Below are 23,776 nucleotides of genomic sequence, written 5' to 3'. Positions count from 1 at the left end.
CTACAAAAAATAGAAAAAATTAGCCAGGCATGGTGGCATATGTCTTTAGTCCCAGCTACTCAGGAGGCTGATCTAGGAGGATTGCTTGAACCTAGGAGATAGAGGCTCCAGTGGGCCATGATCCCACCATTGCACTCTAGCCTAGGCAACAGAGTGAGACTCTGTCTCAAAAAAAAAAAAAAAAAAAATGTCCCCAGTAATCCTAAAAAATATTTTTTAAACATCTAGAACTGTTTCCCAAACTTCTGGATTTCATAAACTGTTAATATTTCAAAAAGCAAATTTCTGTTTGTGTGGATTGGCAGTACAGCTTAACAGCTTTTAATTTTGTTAAGAACATTTTTTTAACCATTTTTTAAATGGTTAAAAAATCATTTCATTAAAGAATGGACCTTTCTAATCTTCCCAAATTAGAAAGGACACAAACCGGGATAAGAAATGGTCCTTTAAATGGAATAAATTTAGCTTACAAAAAACTTACTACATTGTTCTTGGATTTCTCCTATCAGTAAAAACTTCCTTATGCATACACCAGTGTTAAAACATGCTACAGTCTCTTTCTCAGCTTATCAGTCCAAGCCCCAGGTTAATTTCTCAGGTTCTTTTCCCACCCTTTCTCAAATGAGTAAGGCTGAAGGCCAGCTCCTCTACCACCCCAGCTGACAATGGCCTAACATGAAAGGCAGGACCTAGGAACAGTCACTTAATCCATAAATTTTACTACTCAGCTTGAGGCTGCACAGAAAGACCCTCCCCACTCCTGCCCTTGAAACAGCACACTGCCGACCTCTCTAACTCTAGAGGCCTTTTTAGATTAACCTTTCCTAGTGCTCAGCACAGCATCCACATGGATGAACACTTGCATTCTGGTGACTTAGCTCTGGTCGCTGGGCCTCTTTCATACCCATGTTTCTGGTCATTACTTCCAAGTTGCACCACTAATGTCAGAACACTTTCTGTCTCGATAGCTAATATATCAGAACGTCCCTGTCACTAGTCCCAAGGGAAAATGGACACAAACTGTCTCTGCACCAATCACTCTCATTCTTTTCTCACCAATAATATCATCTGAAAAAAAAAAAAGTGTATGTTGAAACAGTCCAAAAGCAATTGGCACATAATGGGAAAGTAGTATGTATTCAACTAATTGTCACACAGATAATAATTATAACTTTGGACAAAACATATAAAACCACTATTAGAAGATACTGGAGAGGAAACAAAAGCAGGCAGAAACTGAAGGAGATTTTATCCTTGAAAGAAAAGAACTGGATTGGTAAAAATCCATGCTCAAATAGATTATCTGAGTGTGAATGCACTCAGTCTGTACAGCAATTGGGTAGCTGGAACTCCAGCAGAAAGCTGCAATTTTATTGGCTTTAAGAACAAAGCTCAGGGCTGCTAGAGGGGCTAGAAATAGGGGAAAATCCTGAGAAGAAGGGAGCCCCCAAATACATACACAAATTTCTCTAAAATTCTCAGTCAATACCTGAATTGTACATGCATAAAGGAGACTCCAAGAAACCCAGTGAAAAGCAACTGCTGAAAGGATAATAAAAAGCTGAGTAGAGATGAAATTTCATTGCAAGGGAGGCAGAGTTTGGAGTTTGAGTTCCACAAAGTTAGAGGTGCTTGGTACAAACATTGGGTCTTTCACCGAAATCCCCGAAGAGCCATCTGAGGAGTAAAGACCATGTCCCAGGACTATGGGATTTGCTCTAGGACAAAGGGCAAAACCAAAATACACCCAACCTAACACAGTCCGAAACCAAGTTCCCACAAGTTTAAGGTGATCCACAAATAGTTTAACAGCCTACTAAAACAAAAATAAACACTTTTCAGAGGAAGGTAATTCCAGAGTTACTGTAATTTTTCATCTACAATGTCTTATGTACAAACAAAATTACTAGACATATGAAGAAGTGTGAAAATGTGATCTATAGTCAGAAGAAAAAATAGACAATAAAAACTGACCCCAAGATGACCCAGATGTTAGAATTAACAGACAAGAACTTTAAAGCAGCTATATAAGGACCTTATAAGCAGCTATATGTTCAAGGACTTATGGGAAAAGATGGCCATAATGAATGAACAGATGGGAAATCTAGGAAAGAAACAGAAGCTATGTAGGAAAAAACAGATGGGGAAAAATAAATGGAAATTTCTAATTTAAAAGTAAAATATCTAAAATGAAAAAAATCAGTTGGGCTTAACAGCAGTTTGAACACAACAGTAAAAATCATCAGTGAACTTAAAGACAGACCAATAGAAAATACCCAATCTGAAGGACAAAAGGACAAAAGATAGGAAAAAAAATTAATAAGGCTTCAGAACAAAAAACATAGAACAAACTTATGGAACAATATCAAGCAGTCTAACATTTATGCAACTAGAGTCCCAGGCACAAAGAGAAAGAAAATAGGGCAGAATAGATATTTGAAGAAGTAATCGCCTAAGACTTTCTAAATCTGGGGTGACAAATATCAACTGTGAGATCAGCAAACCTTAGCAAATCCTAAACAGAAAAAAATCAAAGAAAATGACACACAGTCACATCATAGTCAAAGTGCTAAAAAGCAAAGATAAAGACAAAATCTTTAAAGCAGCCAGAGGGAGGAGAAAAGACTTACATACAGAACAATCGGGGGAAAAATGGCCAGAGGACAAAAGGTATGGCAATTTTTAAAGTGCTGAAAGAAAAAAAAAACTCTCAATCTGGAATTCCATATCAATATAAAATATCCTTCAAAATGAGGATGAAATCAAAACATTTTCAGATTTCAGATAAACTAGATAGAGAAGTTGTTCTTGGCAAATCTGTGCTACCAGAAATGCTAAGGGAAGTTCTTCAGGCTAAAGAGAAATGACACCCCCAGATGGAAACTTAGATCTATTGGAAGAAATGAAGAACAACAAAAAAGGCAGAATATCTCTCAGTGACAACTGTTTAAAGTAAAATGACAAACTGGGCTGGGGGTGGTGGTTCACGCCTGTAATCCCAGCACTTTGGGAGGCCGAGGCAGGTGGATCACTTGAGGTCAGGAGTTTGAGACCAGCCTGGCCAACATGGTGAAATCCTGTCTCTACTAAAAATGCAAAAATTAGCCAGGTGGGTGGTGGGCGCCTCTAATCCCTGCTACTTGGGAGGCTGAGGCAGGAGAATTGCTTGAACTGGGAGGCAGAGGTTGCAGTGAGCCAAGATCATGCCACTGCACTCCAGCCTGGGCAACAGAGTGAGACTCTGTCTCAAAAACAAAACAAAACAAAAACCCGACAAACTGTATTGCAAAGTTCTTAATATAAATAGTTTTAAAATATATGCTATTAATACCACAAAGGACTGGGGGGACAAATGGACTTAATGGCTGCAAGGGTCTCACATTTTATATGAAGTGGCATAATTTTTTTTTTTGAAACGGAGTCTCGCTCTGTAGCCCAGGCTGGAGTGCAGTGGCACGATCTTGGCTCACTGTAACCTCTGCCTCCTGGGTCACAGTTCAAGCAATTCTCCTGCCTCAGCCTCCCAAGTAGCTGGGATTACAGGCGTGTGTCACCACGCCCAGCTAATTTTTGTATTTTTAGTAGAGACGGGGTTTCACTATGTTGGCCAGGCTGGTCCTGAACTCCTGACCTCTTGCTCCACCCGCCTCGGCCTCCCAAAGTGCTGTGCTGGGATTACAGGAGTGAGCCACCAAACCCGGCCATGGTATAATATTAACTCTATGTAACCAGTGATAAGGATGCATATTTTAAATCCTAGAGTAATCACTAAAAAAAAAAGTATAAAAAACAATACCTAAAAGCCAATGGAGGAATTAAAATGGAACTTAAAAGCAATCGGCTAAACACAGTGACATAACTCTCTATTATACTGGGTAAAAGCACGTGACCAGAAATGTTTCAGTCTATCACCAATGACATTCGACATTAGTCAGTACCCTTTTCCTGTAAAGTATCATTATTTAAAGAATATTTTACTATCATTCTGCTCCTTTTCAGTAATTATTGACATGTCACATAATAAGAAGAAATCTAGCCTAGCTAATGATTTCAATGAAGCTTTCTGATCACAACCTTACGGTTTCTAAGCAGATTAGATATTCTATATTCACAGCACACTCTCTACATCTCCTTGCCTCTCCTAAATCCTGGCTTCCCCCACGGACTTCGTTGCTCTCGCAGCTCTTTCAAGTAGAGTCTGCTCATTTTTTAAAACCCTGCAAACCCAAGTCCCAAGACAATACTCCTGTTTCACTCCCCAAAGTTCCTCTAGACCATTATTCTTCCAAATTATTATGAAAACACTTCTTTCAAAACTTGTACCATTCAGCTATACCACCTCTCTCCTTCATTCCTGTCACTAACAATGCCCTGAGCACACACTGACCAAAAATTTGGGCATTTGGCTCCCTCTCCACAACTATTCTCATTATTCTAAGCCAAGTTAGTGTTCACATGAACAGTTCTAATGTTTAGCCTTGTGGTTCCCAGACCCTTTAAATGCCAATGGCCTTGTTGCTACTTTTTGAAACTCCAGTCATAACTGGAACTGCTCCATCTCTGAAATATCCAGTCCCCTCCTTCCCTCCTCATCTAACAACTTCCTTCTTGGTGTCACTTCTTTCCCTATCAACCTAGCTCATTCCCAAGGTCGATGACATCATGCCACCCCCCCCCTTACCTTTTTACCACACTTCCCCTTGCTATGGTTGGAATGTCCCCTCTAAACTTGGGTTGAAATTTAATTGCCATTGTAACAGTATTAAGATGTGAGATTATTATTTATTTTATTTTTTGAGACACAGTTTCACCCTTGTTGCCCAAGCTGGAGTGCAATGGCACCATCTTGGCTCACTGCAACCTCTGCCTCCCGGGTTCAAGCAATTCTCCTGTCTCAGCCTCCTGAGTAGCTGGGATTACAGGCCTGCGCCACCACGCCCAGCTAATTTTGTATTTTTAGTAGAGATGGGGTTTCACCATGTTGGTCAGGCTGGTCTTGAACTCCTGACCTCAGGTGATCCGCCCATCTTGGCCTCCCAAAGTGCTGGGATAAAAGGCATGAGCCACCATGTCCGGCCAAGATGTGGGATTTTTAAGAGGTGGTTAAGCCATGAGAGCTTCTGCCCTCATGAATGGATTAATGCCATTATCACTAGAGTGGGTCCCTTATAGAAGGATAAGTTCAGTCCCCTTTTGACTCTCCCTCTCATATGCCCTCTTGCCCTTCCACCTTCTGCCATGGGATTACTCAGCACAAAGGCCCTCACCAGATGCCAGCACATTGATCTTGGACTTCCCAGCTTCTAGAAGTGCGAGAAAATAAATGTCTGTTTGTTCATAAATTACTCACTCTGTGGCATTCTGTTAGAGCAGCATAAAACAGACCAAGACACCCCCTAAAGCCTGGATCAAGCCAACTACCTGCTTCCACTGTGTCAAGATCCAGCCTGCTCAGGGGTGTTGGAGAAACTTGCACAACCATGCGAATTAAGGCCTAACAAATTCATGCTCTGCCTTCCCTCAGCAGGGTCCTACCTGGTCTCCCTGCTTCCAGTCTCACCTACCTCAAATCTATATCGCATGCCTGCATGGGCCCCTGGAAGTTACAGAGAATTCTAGATAGCGAGGGGAAGCTAGGTTCCAATCAGGAGTCATTTCTATGTAAGTATTTCTGGTAAATTGCCTAACAAGGTCTCTGAAGAAAGGCATCTGAACATCAAAGACTCCAGTAACTCAGCTATGACTTTTTTTCCAATTATAAGTATTTGCTTTTATACCTGATTTTGAATCTATAATTTTGAATTGTTTTTCTTAAAGAAGGCCGCCAAATTGCATAAGCTTCAGGACTCATAAAACCTGGATCCATCCCCGTCCAGTTGTTGCCAAAGTGTTCTTTCTAAGATGCAAATCCAATCATACTGCTTCTCTACTGAAAATGTGTTTGCACTTGGAGATCATGAAGGGTCTATGTGTCAAAAAAGGAATCGGGAGTTCATGCTATAGGTTCTTCATAGAGACCCTAGAATATATGCTGATGACCCCCATATCTGTTATCACTAGTTTCCAACTTTCTCTCTTAAGCTCCATACCACATTTTCAACTTGGCAGACCTCTTTGAAAATCCTGAAGGCAACTCAAATTCAGCATGTCCCAAATTGAAATAATTATCCTTTCTTGTTCACCAACTGCTAAGACTCTTAAATTCTCAGTCTCAAAAATGTCATTATCCATTCAGTCTTTTCAGCTACAAGCGGGCTCAACTCCAGACTCTCCTTCTCTCCCACTTCCAACAGCCAATCTGTTACCACATCCTATCTGCCTGCCCTCAAACAGGTCTCTTGTCACTGACCTCTCCTCTTTAGACCCCTCCGCCAGGTTTTTGTTTATTGTTTCCCAAAGTAAGGCACATATGCCACTGGTGAGATGCCTGGTAAAGGTAAATAGATGAACCTTTTTAAAAATAGCCAGTTATGGCCACACGCAGTGGCTCATGCCTGTAATCCCAGCACTTTGGGAGGCCGAGGCGGGAGGATCATGAGGTCAGGAGATCGAGACAATCCTGGCGAACACGGTGAAACCCCGTCTCTACTAAAAATACAAAAAAAAAAAAAATTAGCCTGGCGTGGTGGCAGGCGCCTGTAGTCCTAGCTACTCGGGAGGCTGAGGCAGGAGAATGGCGTGAATCCAGAAGGCGGAGCTTGTGGTGAGCCGAGATTGTGCCACTGCACTCCAGCTTGGGCAACAGAGCAAGACTATATCTCAAAAAAAAAAAAAAAAAAAAGAAGCCAGTTATGTATGTTATGTATACTAAGAAAAATATAAATATCACAAATGATCATTTCATTGAAAACATTTTTTAAAAATAAATGCATTTAAGTATAAAAGGAAAGTTGATTTAAAGAGAAAAGTTAATAATGTGAGTGGTATGTATTGTAACTGTAAAAATGTAAAACTGTTAAAATGATGGGGAAACGCCTGAAGTTTGGGAATGCTGCCTTGGTTGATGCCTTCATCACCTCTCAGAAGGACTGCTCCAACCGCCTCCCAGCGATCTCCCTGCCAACAAGCTCTCCCACTCTATCCTCCAGTGTAGCTGCCAGATTCATCTTTCTAGAAAACAAAGTTGGTAACGTCATTCTTTGCTTTAAAATCTTTGTGGGCTCCCTACAACATAGAAAACAAACTCTTATTTCTCCACTTGGAATGCCAGGCCTATGTTCCCAATACATTAAATGGTTTTACCGTGCCCTAAAAACCCCCAGCCCCTGTGCAATGGCATGCCTTAGAACAGGCTTTGCAGGCCGCCAGAAATGGCTTTTTGCCCTCCTTGCTCATTAGCAAATTCCTACTCATTCATGTCAACCCACTTCAAGAGCTGCCTCTTTTAGAAAGCCTTCCCTAACTCCTAGGCAGGGTGAGGTGATCCTTCTGGGTTCCTGAACTCAGATAGTACTTCAGAATTATAATTTTTGGTATAGGTGTGTGGTTCCCCACTTAGAATATGAAGTTTTCTTGTTCATTTTGTATCAGAAAGTGTATATTAAATGTAGGATAAATAAGTAAATGAATGAATAAAATTCTACTTATAAATATGTATATAAAAATATATATAAATGTGCCAGGTGTGATGGCTCATGCCTGTAATCCCAACACTTTGGGAGCCCGAGGTAGGAGGATCACTTAAGGCCGGGAGTTTGAGACCGGCCTGGGCAACACAGTGAGATTGTGTCTCTACAAAAAATTAAAAAAAAAAAAAAAAAAATATATATACATATATATATATATATATATATATATATATATATATATATATATAAAATGAATTTATATATAAATGAATATTATATATATATAAATGAATGAATGGGCAAAGCAAAATGGAGTATGGGGGTTGGAGTTCTTTGTTATCACTGGTTAAGAGGACAAAAAGAGATGCAGGAAAAAGAGAAATAGTAGAGATAAAACAGAGGAAGCTCAATAAGAGAGAGAAAAAAATAAAGAGATGTCGGAACTAGGCATAGTGGCTCACGCCTATAATCCTAGAGCTTTGGGAGGCCAAGGTGGGAGGACTGCCTGAAGCCAGGAGTTCAAGGTCATCCCGAGCAACACAGCATGACCTTGTCTCTACAAAAAATAAAAATAAATTAGCTTGGCGTGGTGGTGCATGCCTATAGTTCCAGTTACTCGGCAGGCCGAGGGGGAGGATTGCTTGAGCCCCAGAGTACATGTCATAGCCTAGTCACTGAATTCTTTCAACAAGGATTTACTGAGACCTCACTCAGTGTGTACTGTGCCAGGCACACATGGCCCCCTCTCTGACTGCTCCCTGAAATTGCAGGGACCCCTGCTGCTAAATCCAATAGGACCTGCTCAGGCCTTCCCTTCCTGGACCCTCTTGGCAGCATCAAACACTGCTGACCCCTCAGTCCATCATGACACTCTCACTTATCTTGGCTTCTGGACACCATAGGTGCTTGGTTTCTCCTCTCCTCTCTGGCCACCACTCCTCAATTTCTTTTGGCAAGCTATTTTTTGGCTATGTGTTTCCTAAACACAAGTGGTCCTCAGCTTCTGTCTGTTCGTCCACTTCCGTCAGAAGCCCTCTCCTCTTACTCTAAAACCCTCTCTTAGAGTGTTGGGCTTCCATTTAGCACCTCAATGCTAAGAACTTCCAAATCTCCAGCTCCAGCCCACAGCCTGGTATACACAAGTCCCATGCATCAAAGCCTCTTGGGCATTTCCTGCAGGTTGAATACATCATCCCCCACTCCTCACACCTGAGGATTCATTTAACCAACACTTACTGAGGACCTACAAAGTGCCAGTCTCCAGGGAGGAGAAGAGCCATTTCTGCAGCTTGCAATTGGTCAGAGAGATGAAACTAAATAAGGACACAAACATATGATTACAAACTGTGATTGAAGTGATAAGGAAAATGTGAAAAAAGAAACGAGTGCATATAATAAAGGGACCGCACTTAAATCAACTACAATAGCTGACAGGTGTGAAATGAGGCTGGCCATGCAGAGAAGACCCAGATGACACAGGACTAAGTTAAGGATTTGGGTTTTGTTTTGTTTTGTTTTGTTTTTTTATCTTAAGTGCAACGAGTATCCATTAAAGGGTTTGACCGTGAAATGACTGATACACATTTTTACAAGACCACTCTAGCTAAACTGCAGGACAGTGGGAATATAAGAGGAGGGACCAGTTATGAGGCAACTACTGAAGCCCAGGTGGGATGATAGTAGCTCAAATCATTTCTCTAATTTCCCCCCAACCCCCACCCCCAAACAAACACTTTTATTTTCTAATAGAATTCTATTCACAGCCTAGATCCTGACAAGTCTCTGCTCTGGTCACTTTGCCTAAATAGAAGTCACTTCTCATTACAACAAAGGTATCATTCCCATGAAAAGTTTCACATACCAAAAAAAGATTTCTGAACACAGCCAGTGGTCTATTTACTCCAAAAAGGAGTCAAACCAAATTCCAACATTGCAATAGAATCTGAAATCCTTGAGCATACCTCGGAGATTTTTCTTGACCAGCAAACACAAATGCACAGAGGAAGGTACAGTGGTTGCACTGAAGATGCAGCAATAAAAGACAAGGCTAAAAATACTGAAAGCTCACTGTTTAGTTCTCATAACATTACCAATTATTTCAGTGTCATATTAGAAATGTTGACCTCATATAGGTCATTTGTGAAAAGGCAAAGGGGCTGGTTTTCAAACACTTGGTCCATTTATCAAGGAAGGCCAAAGGGGCTGGTTTCAAATACAAAGTCACTTACGACCACCCCTCTATCACCTGTATGGTCAACTGCTCCATTAACAAATCCACCATGCCATGCTCTCTCTCTTGTCTCCAGAACTTGGCTCACACTCTTCCCTCTACCTGGAATATTCTTCCCCCTCTTCTCTTGGCTAATTTCTACTCATCCTTCAAGTCTCTCAGCTCAAACCTGATTTCTTCCTGGACCACCTTTTTGGATATCCCTGAGAATAAAATGGGCTCAACGTGTTTACTCTCATATCTTCTGTAATCACCTCTACCTGACACTTCTCTGCAAGCCCCTAAATCAAAGTTCTAGAAGGCAGGGAGCATGTCTGGTTAATTATTGTATTCCAAGTTCAAAGCACAATACCTGGCACACAGAAAGCTCCCAATCAAGTTTCATAAATGAATGAATATTTCCTTTTTTCCAAGGTAACTGAGGTCACCAAGGTCACTCCTGCCCTCTTCATTTTCTACTCATCTGCCCCCAGAACAACAAAATGATATAAGTCAGCAATTAAGGATTATTCTTTGGAAAGACTGTCGACCTTCAGACAGAGAGTTGCATTTTGTTGACAGAAAGGTGTTGGCAAACAACTGGCCAATGGCATAGGCAGAAATGCTACTACAAGAGACAAATAAAATGGGTCTCAAGTGGCACAAAGAATTCTTACTGAAAGGATTCCTCACCCAAATGTTTCTTTGCCATAAGGGCCAGTTGTTAGTCTATGAAATATGAATATCTCTGTATCTTGGACAGAACTGATATTTAGGATAAATTGATAATACATTCTAATTCTCGTTTGATACAGATAAGGACAATAATAGTTAGCAGGTGTTGGGCACTGCTCTAAGAGCTTTATATATTTTATTTAACCCTCCAACAACCCAATGAGATAGATACTACTATCATCTCCATTCAACAGATGAGGAAACTGGCTTACAGTAGTTAAGTAACACACCCGGGATACACACCTAGCAACTGGCAGAGCTGGGATTAAAGACAAAACGATCATCTTTTCTACTTCTCAGATTACATAGAAAATCACAAGAGAGGACTCACAGTGCACTGGGCTAAGCTCTTGACACATATTTCTCACTTAACCCTCCCCATAGGCGAGGAGGAGAATCTTAAAGTGCTCTTTGAGCACCAACTTGCACTCTGGGTCTCACAGAAGCCAGCAAGAAAGCATGTTTTCCTGGGGCACTTCAAGAGCATTTGACAAAGCCAGAGCCAGTGCTGGCGGAGAATCTCAAGATGTTGATTTCCAATTGCAGGCTCTACCCTGAGATGACATTCCCTCCCACACAGCGGCCGGCCCCAGGGATGGGTCAGCGATGCACATCTGCACACTCCAAGGGAGAGTTCAAAACCAAAGCATGCCAAGCATGACATAAATATGAAGTGTGGAAAACACATTCCTTATGAACAACTCCATATCAAATTCCCTGCATCCCTCTTTGGCAACGTTATCAGAAGCATCATTCAACCCAGCCGATTGGAGAGCGGCTATGAAAAACGCTGGAAAATGTGACCAATCAGGAGAGTTATTTTTGTGAGAAAGAAGAAAAATGTCACCAAAAAGGGTCAGCAGATAACCCTATTGGGCTGAAAATAACTGCCTGGCTGGCAGACCAGTAAGGGGACAGGCGGAGGGCGAGAGACGTAATGCAAAGTGCCAAGGGAGCTCCGGCCGAGTGAGGCTGCTGGGGGATGAGGAAATTGGCCTAATTTGGGAACATGAGCCCAGCAGCATTTCTCAGATTCCTGCGAGGGAATCTGGCTAACTTTCAGTTCTGCGTCCTCGGAGGAACACCAAGGGAATAGGGGGAGAGAAAGGGAACAGCTGTGACTCCAACACTTCTCTAGACCACTGAACGAATAAGGGTGATCAAGTGAGAACTTACTCCCATTCCAAAAGGACCCCAAGGGAATGACCCTAAGTCTCTCCGCCCTTTCCAAAATCCTCTTCTCTACTGGGAGGTCTGTGCTTCTTCCCATCTAGCAGGTAGGAGAGGTTAGGCACTTGAGTCAGAAAGACTCAACTAGAGTCACAGATTAGCTGAATGCTTCTGACAAGTTACCCAGACTCTTAAAGTCTCCATGTCCTCACATGTACAACATGATGATAAGAGTACCTACTTCAAGAGCTACCATAAGGCTCAACTAGGACACTGCATGTAATGAACAGATAGCTAGCAACTGTTGCAATGTAAGCTATGATGATGATTATTAAAAGGACAATCTGCAAAATAAAAGCTAAGCCAAAAACAGGTCTAGATCCCAGCAAGAAATGCTCATCCAAAAGATGAGCTAGCCCTGGAGAGGTTTTGCCAAAGATTACTTTTGCCCAAACTCAGTAGAAGGTAACTTTTCGGTAGAAAGCATCTGGGTCTGTCCTTAAAAGAGTTCTGTGAGGGCACAATCATTTGAATCAATAGAAGGTCAAGGCTCAAGCAGAGAAATCTGGTTTAACTCTCAGACCCATCCTCCCTAGAGAAAGCTATACATCACAGACATGTAGACACTCATCATAGAACTATCTTCCAGCAAAATCCTCAATACCTATAATTCCAACCTGAACTGCTAGCTGAACCATGCTTCTAGTGATCCAAGCCTGATTTGCAACAGGTGCACCCCACCCCACCCAAAAAATGTAGTCATAAGCTTTCTTAGTACTTATCATTTCTCCTTGGGTTTCTGTGTGCCGGATACCGTGCTAAGTACTTTACATGCATTACCTCATTTGATCTTCACAACAACCCTAAAAAAGTAGACACAACTCCAATCTACTCCAAACTAGTAAAATCACACAAAGAGTTCATCTTTCTGGTAAATTTTAAAATTAGACAGTTAAGTGATTTGAAATGTATCGAATGACCAAGCAAATAAAGAGACTTTTCCTCTTCTCTCAGAGCAGGAAGAAGAGTTTAATTACCTGGACCAAACCACAGGCATCCTACTGGCACCACGTCCTAAGTGGGTATGGAGACAATCAGAAGGAAAAGATCAAGAAGAGGCCACTGAATCAGATATCCTGGAACTTAGGGCATACAATTTTTTTTCACTCAACTCCAAAACAAAAACTGGAGAAGAATGTACATTTTTTTTAAGCTAAAATAATTTTCTCTTCATACCCAGGGCTACAAAAAAAAAAAAGGGCTTTCTATAATTTCTATTTGTTTTAAATTGACATGTCATTTTTGAACTGCCTACTCAAGAGCCATTCTACTCACCTCCCTTACCAAGAAACCCCGATGCTATGGTGTGGTAATGTGCCCATTAAAAACTCCCCTGAAACTGAGAGTGTGGCTGTAAGATCCAGTTCTGACCAATGAAATGAAACTAGAGCTCTCCTTAGTGAGGACTCTGGCTACTGTTTTCCTGATAAGAAGGGGTACACCCTTCTTACTGGCATGCACCTTGAACTCTTCAACAATTCCCTCTCTTCCCACCTAGAATGCATATCTGATCCCAGGAGAATGACCAGCCATCTTGCAACCATGAGAACAAAAGTCACAGGCTCCAGATAGCAGAGCAGGAAGCTGGAAGGAGCTAGAGTAATGCAGGACATGCTCCAGTGACTGCACCCACTCTGCTCTGCCCTCCACTGGACTCTTTGCTATGTGAAAGAAAAATTGCTCCTGTTTGATTCAAGTACTGAAGTTGTTTCTGTTGTAGGCAACCAGATTCAATACTGATAGATAGAGGAGGCCACTTGAAAAATTAATCTATCCTAAAAGACAGGAGTTTTCAATTCAGACGGAAATGGGAACCAGGCAGATCAAATGTGAGTAAATCTGACCAGGTGTATCAAAGTACTAAGCAGTTAACTGGAGAGGGATGGATGCATGTAAGCTATCAGCAGCTGCAGCACCAGCCAATTGCCGCCATGTGGGAATGTCAACCCAGCATTCTCACTGTGCCAGGGCTTCTGATTTTAAAGAGAAGCCCCAAATCTGAATTTCCATATTACATTTCCTGATTTATAAATGCGAACCAAATTTAAAAATTCTTAACCCTGTATGGATCACATAAAACATGACTATAGGCCAAATTCAGCCTGAAGGCCACCAGTTTTCAACCTCAGTAGAGGTTAAGGTGGAATAAAAAGAATGCCCAAGTTCTAGAGAAATAATAATGGTTGGCAACATACTGAGCATGTGTGTGTCAGACTAAGTTAAGGGTTATATCACTTTGTCTTTCCAGCTATCCTATGAAGTATGGAATATTATTATCCCTGTTTCACCAAAACAGGAATAATAGGAAAATGAGGCTTAGCAAGATTAACTCAGTATCACAGAAGCTAATGTATGACAGGGCCAGGATTTCAGCCCAGACTGGTATGACTCCTAGGCCTGTGCTTTTACAGACTCTTAAGAAACGCCTGCTGCAACTAGAAAGCAAAAAAACTTTTCTCCAGGTTGGGTGTGGTGGCTCACACCTGTAATCCCAGCACTTTGGGAAGCCAAGGCAGGAGGATCGATTGAGGCCAGGAGTTTGAGACCAGCCTGGGCAACATAACAAGTCTTCGTCTCTACAAAAAAAAATCAGTCAGGTGTGGTGGTGCATGCCTGTGGTCCCAGCTACCCAGGAGACTGTGACTGGAGGATCGCTTGAGCCCGGGAGTTCAAGGCTGCAGTGAGCCATTATCATGCCACTGCATTCCAGCCTGGGAGACAGAGCAAGACCCTGCCTCAAAACAAAAACAAACAAAAAAACCCTCTGCTCTGGATACCTACTAGCCAACCTATGGATAAATGAGTAGTAGCCTGTGAACAGATTTCCAAATCAGTTCTAAGAGACTCTGGCTGGCATGCTCTTTCTTCGGTGCCCTTTAATAAAAGCAGCAAAGTGCTGTCCCAATATGCCTTTATTCACTAATTTATTGAATGAATGCTTGCACAGTGCTTTTCAGTTTATTAAAAAGCGTCTCAATGCGTATCTCACTTGCCCCCATATCAACCTGGTGGTATTACTATCACTATTTGACAGATAATGAAATGGAGAATTAGAGAGATTGGTGGACTTAATCACAATCCAGGCAATTAGCACCCAGTCCTCTGGTGCGAAGCCCTGTGTTCTTTCTGCTTCCTTCACCAGAGCTCCCAACTCCACTACCTCGCTTTAAAATAACCATGTGTTTGAACTAATTTCCACTTAAGTCTAAAGTAACTCCAGCATGTCTGACAGCTCCCAGGTACCATATTTACGTTTGCATGGATATCTTCATCCTAGAATACAGTCAGCAAGAGGACAAAAATAAATATATCAAGTAATAGAATCGGAATGTAAATGGGCACACACACAAGTCTTGGGATCTAATTTTAGAAAGAAACAGCCAAAAAGTCCCACACAGCACAGTGAGCATCTGGCCCCGTGGGAGGCTGCCCACACTGTTTAAACCTCAATTAGCCCAGGGAGAAAGGGATCCTGGAATCCTAACTGGCATCTTGCTTTCAGAGGCAACAGTTGGGTGAAGAGCAGAATGACTTTTCATCATGTTCTCCCACAAAAATGGTAATGCACAGAGTTAAAAAAAGGTAAACCTCGAAATAAGTAGGTATTACTGAATGGCTGAAACCCTGAAAGGATTCATCACACTCTGTGACTATGGAGTTATATTCTCACAGCAATGATTCTCACATGGGAGCCAAGGGAAGTGGATGGTAGGCAAGCAGGGCCCACTGACCCCAGCCTAGGAGCTGATTTGGTATGGGGGTCATATAAGGCTTCAAGGCCTAATGAGGTCATCACAGGCTCATTCACCTAACTACCATAGGTGGCTATAACCTCCTTCACAATTAAGTAGACTTTAAAATATATATACATACATACACACACACACACACACACACACACACACACACACACTCTTGTTAATATTTATATATATATATATAATATATACTCTTATTGTTAATTATATATTTATGTATATATCACTCTTGTTGCCCAGGCTGGAGTGCAATGGCAAGATCTCAGCTCACTGCAACCTCCGCCTCCCGGGTTCAAGCAATTTTCCTGCCTCAGCCTCCCAAGTAGCTGGGACTATAGGCACATGCCACCCAAACCCAGCTAATTTTTAAATATTTTGCAAAGACAAGGTTGCCCAGGCTGGTCGTGAACTCCTACGTTCAAACAATCCTCCTGCCTTGGCTTCCCAAAGTGCTGGGGTTACAGGGGTTACAAGCATCAGCCACTGTGCCTAGCCTTAAGTAGACTTTTAATTATTCTTCCTGGGTGCCAGTGATCACGAGAATGTAACTTCCATTATGGCAAGAGATCTTGTCTCTTTTGTTCACTGAAATATGCCAACCCTGCAAAATGGTGCCTGGCACTTACTGTGTGCTTCAATAAATAGTTGTTGAGTAAATGAATGAATGATCTGGTGTTGGAATTAATCCTCCTGGACCCATGTGGAACAGTGTAAAGTGCCAGAGGCCAAGAATTGGCTTCCATCAGCTCAGTCATTTGCTTCCGCGTTTTCTCTTTAAATACATACACCACTGCAGTTCAAGCTCCCTGAGATCCAGGGTTGGGTCTGGTATATCTTCTTTCACCAAATTCCTACTTTATATCACCTCTCCTAACTGTGCCTCCAATGCTCCACTATCCTCGCCTCCCAACCTCCCTGCCCCAGGCCCCATAACACTTCTACATAGCTTCTAATGTGTAAGTACATCACACACTATGTACTTGACCCCACCTCATCCTGCGCAATAACAATTGCAGGCCTATTCTGCCAGGCACTGTGACAGATAATAGGGTACGATGATAAGACACAACCTCTGCCTTCCAGATGCTCATATCTTATGAGAGAACCAGATATGTAAACAATTAGAATACAATGTAATAAGTATCACAATGGAGGTGCCATGGCCGCAGTTACAAACTGACAATCCTTGGACCAAATCCAGCCCATATGATGATTTAATATCCAGTCCATATGGTGATTAGGTTTTCTTAATCAGGTGCTAACCTCTAAAAATGTGTTGCTTTCACATAAAATTTTAGACTGCCAGCATCTCTTGAAGAATCATATCTGGCAATACTGGGCCTGTATTCTCGACAGCACCAACCAGCTTTGGCTAAGTAGTGGTTGTCCCTTTAGAGGGGGCATGTGGCCTCCAGTTCCCAGTCCCCCTGCCCTAACTCACTCCCCTAGTTTCTTCCAGGCAGTGATGCCAAGGGGTCAGCTGCTAGTTTTTCTAGGCCAGCACAGATGTTATCTTAAAGTAATGATTCTCCATACCCACACTTCTAAAAGGAGAAAATGAAAGATAAATGGACAAGGCCATGTGGAGAGCTTAAGAAAGTGGTGGAGAATGCATTTCCTACGAAAATGAAGAATATTCCTACCTATGTGATATGTAAGTGAAGTGTGTCCATGTCAGGTACCCGGTTCATTTGCTCATGCACCTGCCTGACCCATTAGGCTTCTCAGCATGGGTCTCTTCATCTGTTGCAAACCTACTATGGGCCAGCAAGCTAGAAGCCAGGTTTCCTGCTGTCTGGGAACTCACTGTCCGGTGGGGGAGACAGACATGTAAAAAGACAATTCACATATAATGGCATATGTTCACAATAGGTACTATGGGAAGTGAAAGGAAGGACTGCTAAGTCAGCCTGGAGAGGTTAGAGAAGAGCTAACTTCTGGCAGAGGATGACCCTGAGGCTGACTTTTGCAAAGTTTTTTCAAATGGACAGAGGAAGGTAAAAAGGGGCTCTGAGTAAGCTGCCAAAAGTAGTGCCCTGGCAGTAAAAAGTATTGCTCATCAGAATTACCCACCCTCCACAAAGAAGCTGGATCATTTCCCATAATTCCAGGCTACTCGGAAAAGTTTCCAGGAAAGTAAGGCCAGTAAATGATCTGCTTCCTGCCGGAAGACTGTAGAAAGCGCAGGTCACCACCGAGAGCAATGTCCAATTGTGTAATCCAACCTTACGTCACCAGTCTGCCTCACTGGCATTTATTCAGCGGAAATAAAAACCTGGAATCCTACTGGATTTTGAAACTTCCCAGTCCCTTGCTTCAGCTAACATAAAAAGTTCTACATTAAGAATATAAGGAAATGCACAGAAACTAGTCTGGCATCAAGGAAAAAAAGTTCTTCCATTTCCTGCTACAAGGACAAATGCCAAGGAAGGGAATTCCCAAATCAAGACAGGAGAAAGGGTTGGCATTCAAGAGAAGAAATATGGAATACCAAATCCTTGGTCATTAAGGAATCACTAACTCTTAAACAGTATTTCTTCAGATTTTCTTTTTTTTTAGCACCCACCTCTCCAGTCAGAGTCAAAGAGGAATTCTTGCCATTGAGGTGATTCTCGGCCTGCGCTGACTCCTGTTGAGCTCGGCGACCCATCTTGGCCCTCTGTAAGGAGAAACAGAAGGCACTGCTGACCCAAATGTCATTTGGGCCACTACTGAGATGACAATCCAGCCGGGCGCAGTGGCTCACAGCTGCAATCCCAGCACTTTGGGAGGACGAGGCAGGCAGATCACAAGGTCAGGAGATCCAGACCATCCTGGCTAACACGGTGAAACCCCGTCTCTACTAAAAACACAAAAGATTAGCCTGGCGTTGTGGCGGGCGCCTGTAGTCCCAGCTATTTGGGAGGCTGAGGCGGGAGAATCGCTTGAACCTGGGAGGCGGAGGTTGCAGTGAGCCGAAATTGTGCCACTGCACTCCAGCCTGGGTGACAGAGCAAGACTCCATCTCAAAACAAAACAAAAAAAAAGATGACAAGCCTGGGAAGGTAAGCAAGGACTGGATTTATGATGATGTGGTGGAGAACGGGATTTGAGTTACTTGGACATGTTTTTAGAAAACCCTCTAAAACCCCTTAAAACAAAGCACCTGAGGTCAGTTCTATTTGATAGGAAAATAGGAAATTAAGACAGGTTCTCACTCTGTTGCCCAGGCTGGAGTGCTCACCGCAGCCTCCACCCCCTAGGCTCAAGTGATCCTCCTACCTTGCCCTCCTGAGTAGCTGGGACCACAGGTACACACCACCATATCTGGATACTTTATTTTATTTTTTTGTAGATATGGGGTCCCCCTGTGCTGCCCAGGCTGGACAAGGTTTTCTTTCAACAGCTATAGAGATGGCAAAAGAAAATTCTATTTTCTACCCAAAGAAATGCAGTTACAAATTCCTCTAGAATGGGCAGATACCTCATGCCACAGGTCAGAGAAGAAGGTGGTAAATGCTCCCATGTTCCTACGCAGGATTTTAGGAAGGCTTAATTTCAAATCTGCAGCTTGGCATGAAAATCATTATCAAACAGGCTTTTGGAAAGAATTCCTAAATTCCATGGTAAATGGAAAACAGCATTTGCTCTGATATGTACAGTAACTGGGTTTGCCTTTACAGACATTAAGGGAAATCTAGTACAAGAATTTTGAGACATTATCTTTGGAAATCAGAGCACTTCAAAATTCTTGGCCATCAAATGAATCATTTGCAGGTGTTTCCCAAGGCCCTCCGGTGGAGACTCTGCCTCTAAGGCTTCCCAGCACATAAACAAAACTTTATTTAGTCAGACTCTTGGGTGCTGAAATATTTATACTTTTGCTTACTTTGTTTAAAAAAAACAGCATTAATATAAGCACTTTTAGATCTCATTTAATGTGGCTTCCTTTGATTCTCACAATAATGGACAGAAACTGAGACTGCTGTCATTTTACAAAGGAGGAAACTGAGGCCTAGGAAGGTGATGAAGTGGCTGACATAAACCTAGGAGCAAAGCCTTCTGATTTCAGATCCTGGGTTTCCTGGGTGCTTTCCACTCTACCCTGCTGAAACTTGTTTTAAGATGTTCTAAGGACTGACTGCCCCACTAAACTGAGAGGGGTTACAGAAGAGCTCGTAAAAACTCTTATGCAATGTCGACACTTCAAATTGTAGTGTCATTTAGGTTTCAGGGATGGTGGAAACAATCTTTCTGATAATAAGCAGCTTATTTTCTTCTCAAGTCAGACAATTCCATCCCTTCACCATGGTTGCCCTTTTCCATTTGTCACAGCACTGAGTATCTGAATACAGCATCCTACATATGGCGGTTGTGCTAAAACAAAAATTCAATGATCTTGTCGCTAAATGCTGTTCACAGGTGTTTTCTCTAATAATTTTTAAGTATTTCAAGGTTTTAAACTTTTTGAAGACCCTGTATAGATCCATAGGGTAGAAAAACTTCTTTACTGCCTGATTTTTGTGTATGTTAAATGTAGTCTATTTATTGCCCATCTTCTCCCACTACAACATAATCACATGAGGGCAGGAACTTTGCTTTATTCATTGCTGTATCTCCAGCACCTAGGACACTGCCTGATACACAGTAGGGGCTCAATAAATATTTGTTGAATGAATGAATAACTACATTCACATCCCCAGGTACTAAAAAACATTCACGTATCAGCAGGCCTGGTGACCTTCAAAACACTTAGAGATTTCACAGCAGACACTAAAGACTTGCTCTGGGGCCCAATCTTTTAGTAAGTGCGATCCTAACCAGTTTTAAAGATAAAAAGGCCTGATGGGGGTTACAAAGGAGGAAGGTAGACACTGAACTTGGGTCTTGAATCTAGCTCCATTATTTACTAACTATAACGCTGGGTAAACCACAGCCTCATAGGCAGCAGTAGCTAACCTCTTCTGACCTCTTCCGTGATAACATATGCCAAGCACTGAGTTACACGCTTCCCATGTATTGTTGCATTTCCTTTTCACTGTAACACCTCCATTCTAGGCATAAGGAAACCAAGGCTCGGAAAGGTTAAATCGTTTTTTAGGTTTTTTTTTTTTTTTTGAACCCAGGCAACAGCTCTATGCTCCATCTGGCCTCAGTGCCTGAGCACCTAATCACTCCCTCACGTTACAAATCGGTCTTGGTTTCCTTAACTACTGAGGTAACTGAGGTTAACTCCCACCTCCCCACGGGGATTACCGGGAAGAAAGGCCGTCCCTGCCTGCCTCCCTTCCATGCATAAAACAGTGCGGCTTTTGCAGGAACTTCTGCGACGAGGTGTCCCAAAGGAAAAACTCTAGGATGGGAGCGAGTGCGACCCCGGCCGGGGCTCCCCTATCACCCTGTGATCGATCTGTTCTGGGGAAGTTCGCACTCGGGGCTCTAGAAAACGGAGAAAGGCTCGGAAATTTCCCACGGTCCTAGACGCCGGCGGGGACAGGGTGTTTTCTACTTTCTGAGGATTTTAAAGAAAGCAAACCCCAGGCCAGCAGCGGCGGAGCCCACAGTGGCCTGGGGGCGGGGCGGTGAGGCTGCCTCCTTCTGGGCCTCACCCGGCGCGGCGCGAGGCCTGCCGCCCTGAGTCGCCTCAGAGAAGTCGGGGCCGGCGGGGTCGCTCCTCCCCACCCGCCAAATCCTGGCCCCCAAGGCCCCCGAATTGGTCCTCACGGAGGTAGCCAAGCTGTAGCGAAGCTCCTCGTCCAAGTCGAGCAAATCCTCCATCTCCGCGGCCGCCTGACGTCACTTCCTGGAAACCGACTGGCCCAGACGCGTCCCTGCTAACAGCCCCGCCCCTCCACCCCAATTTTTAAAGGGTACGCAGCATGGTTCCTGGATTCTGTGTGCCATCCTCCAAACTACCGAATCTTTCTTAAATCTGCCTTGCTTGACATCTGGAAGCAACCTCCGGTTATTAAAACTCGCCAACGCTGCTCCTGCGAGACGGTAAAATAATTTGGTCGTTAGGAACTGTCTGTATTTGTAGCTCTGTTTAAATATATCAATATATTAAGTGCAAAGCACTACTACTGCTATACTGATGCCTCCCACTTGTACAGCTCTTTGCAAGGTACAGAAGGCCGTCACAGTTATTGGCTTAACGTGAGGGGCATTAACAACCTTGTGTGGGAAGCAAGATAAGTGGTATTGTTTCCATTTGACAGATGAGAAAACAGGGAATCAGGTGTAATAAATGGTTTACCATGAATTATGGAAACTGCAATATACATAATCTCTGCCTTCAAGAAGTTTACAGAGAGGCTGAATCAACACATCAAATAGCTGAGTAGTAATAACTTTCAAAAGTACAAATATTCAATATCTCATTAAATCCCAATAATCCCGCAAAGTGAGTAGCAGTAGTATCTCTAACACAACAATAAAGCACACTGAGGTACAAAGAAGGGGCTTGAGGAAAATCACCTAAGTGCCAAGCAGCAGAGCCAAATGCCCTTCTGACACCAGACATTACTGGAGTATTTATCTCCAGCACATACTACTGGGTGCCAGCCATTCTCCTAGGCTGGCAGAGGGAGATGTACCACAAATTCCCAGCCTAATGGGGCATTTAAGTTGCGTCTTTGTTGACTCTTCATATGAGATCTCCAAGTCAATATCACTGGCCAGGTCCCTGACACTGGTTGGCTGAGATCCATAGGAGATGGGCTGATAGCCCTGAAAGCAAACAACATTCCAGTATTATGTTGAGGGGAAGGCCTGGATGGACACAGGTTAAAAGCAAGGATTCGGAAGTGGGAGTAGCACCCCTGAAACCTCATTGCAAGCATTTCTTAAATATCCAGTAAATCACTCAGTTCAGTCACACATGTTACTGGATAGGACTGTGTGTTAGCATGCCTGTGACAGCAAGAGCACTGGCCTGGATATCAGAAGAGCTGTGTTCTCATCTTAGCTCTCCTGAAAACTACCTGTGTAGTCAGAGCAGAGCCCTTTCCGCTATCAGTTTCCTCCCTTGTAATTACTTTAGAGATTATCTCTAAGATCCTTTGTTAACTTGCTTCTCAGTGAGAATACTTTGTTAGATTTTAATCTGAAGAAACACTCATTGCCAAAAATCCAAGACAGATGAAATATAGGCTCCAATGAATCCCTTGTTCCCTTCTTCTTCGGCACCAGATGAGGAAGAAGGGATTAATCTTTGGATTTTTCCATTTCTTGTAAGCTCACAGCATACGACCATCACCTTATAGTCAGTTTCCAGACCTTCACCCCCACTTCTTCCCCAACTTGCTGAAAACAGAAGGCAAATGGTCCTCACTCTGGGCAGAGAGGTACCCTGCAGTAGTAGCTTCCAGAACTTGCTTAGCACCTGAATCACGTGTGAGGTTTGTAAAGAAACAGAGATGCCAGGGCCTCAGCTCTGGAGACTGATTTGGTAGAGGTGGAGTCCAAAAAAGTATAACTTTAATAATTTTCCTTCCTATCTTGCAACTGTCTGCTCAAAGGCCTTCCCTTATCACCCTATTTGAAACTGCAACATCCCCCAACCTAGGCACACCCCATCCTCCTTCCCTGCTTGATTTTCTGCCACACCACATTTGTTTGTTTGCTTGTCTGTTTGAGACACGGTCTTGCTCTGTCGTCCAGGCTGGAGTGCAGTGGTGCAATCTTGGCCCCCTGTAAACTCTGCCTCCCTGGCTCAAGTGATTATCCTGCCTCAGCCTCCCAAGTAGATGCCTGCGCCAACATGCCGGGCTAATTTTTCCATTTTTTTGTAGAGACTGGGTTTCGCCGTGTTGCTGGGGCTGGTCTCGAATTCCTGAGCTCAAGTAATCCTCCTGCATGGGCCTCCCCAAATGCTGGGATTACAGGCGTGAGCCACTGCACCTGGCTCAGCACTTTTTACCGTACTACATCATTTACATATTTATTTAGTTTATCGCCTCCTCCACTGCCCCACCCCTGCCTCTAAAATAAAATTTCCCTGAGGGCAGGAGTTTTGTTTCGTTCACTGATATTCTTCACAGAGCCTAGAATAGTGCCTGGTATATAGTAAACATTAAACTTTTTCTGAAATTTCAGAGGCAGTATAGCATAGTAATTAAGTCCAGAATCTGGCAACGTCCTGGGTCCAAATCCCAACAGCTGACACCTAATAACTATGTGACCTTGGGCAAGTTACTTTTAAAGTTTCTACCCCTAGGTTTCCCATTGGTTTTGCAAATGAAAGTAATGCCTACCCAAGCTAGATAGCCTGTGTAAAATATCGCCTCCATCACTCA

The 23,776-nt window shown here is 43.0% G+C and overlaps 1 protein-coding gene across 5 annotated transcripts in view, besides 5 other annotated features; it reads right to left on the bottom strand.

Moving 5' to 3' along the window:
• The window catches only part of IFT43 (intraflagellar transport 43), a 98,311-nt gene extending 77,030 nt beyond the window's left edge, over positions 1–21,281 (bottom strand). For all 5 annotated transcript variants that reach the window (NR_045665.2, NR_045664.2, NM_001102564.3 and 2 more), the window contains exons 1-2: positions 21,204–21,281; positions 18,067–18,159 (exon numbers count right to left, since the gene is read on the bottom strand). Coding sequence is in view for 3 of the 5 variants with exons in the window: in NM_001102564.3 (NP_001096034.1) it covers positions 18,067–18,159; positions 21,204–21,257 (147 nt within the window). In the remaining 2 variants the exon portion in view is untranslated. The remainder of the gene's footprint in view (positions 1–18,066; positions 18,160–21,203) is intronic.
• Positions 9,767–13,749: an enhancer, noted in NCBI's record as "VISTA enhancer hs2157". NCBI's record gives its function as "enhancer in: heart[8/10]" and the evidence as "EXISTENCE:transgenic organism evidence [ECO:0001131][PMID:17130149]".
• Positions 13,171–13,270: an enhancer, noted in NCBI's record as "active region_8765". NCBI's record gives its function as "activates an Ori minimal core promoter by ATAC-STARR-seq in GM12878 lymphoblastoid cells {active_cell/tissue: GM12878}" and the evidence as "EXISTENCE:reporter gene assay evidence [ECO:0000049][PMID:35858748]".
• Positions 20,991–21,300: a silencer, noted in NCBI's record as "silent region_5955". NCBI's record gives its function as "represses an Ori minimal core promoter by ATAC-STARR-seq in GM12878 lymphoblastoid cells {active_cell/tissue: GM12878}" and the evidence as "EXISTENCE:reporter gene assay evidence [ECO:0000049][PMID:35858748]".
• Positions 20,991–21,628: a biological region, named in NCBI's record as "H3K27ac hESC enhancer GRCh37_chr14:76451759-76452260".
• Positions 21,127–21,628: an enhancer, noted in NCBI's record as "H3K27ac hESC enhancer chr14:76451759-76452260 (GRCh37/hg19 assembly coordinates)". NCBI's record gives its function as "activates a minimal SCP1, AML or CMV promoter by ChIP-STARR-seq in primed H9 embryonic stem cells {active_cell/tissue: H9 hESC(primed)}" and the evidence as "EXISTENCE:reporter gene assay evidence [ECO:0000049][PMID:30033119]".

The sequence above is a fragment of the Homo sapiens genome, chromosome 14 (assembly GCF_000001405.40).
Source record: "Homo sapiens chromosome 14, GRCh38.p14 Primary Assembly".
NCBI classification, from domain to species: Eukaryota; Metazoa; Chordata; class Mammalia; order Primates; family Hominidae; genus Homo; species Homo sapiens.
Note: the sequence above shows the minus strand (reverse complement) of the source record. Positions and strands in the feature narration are given on the sequence as shown.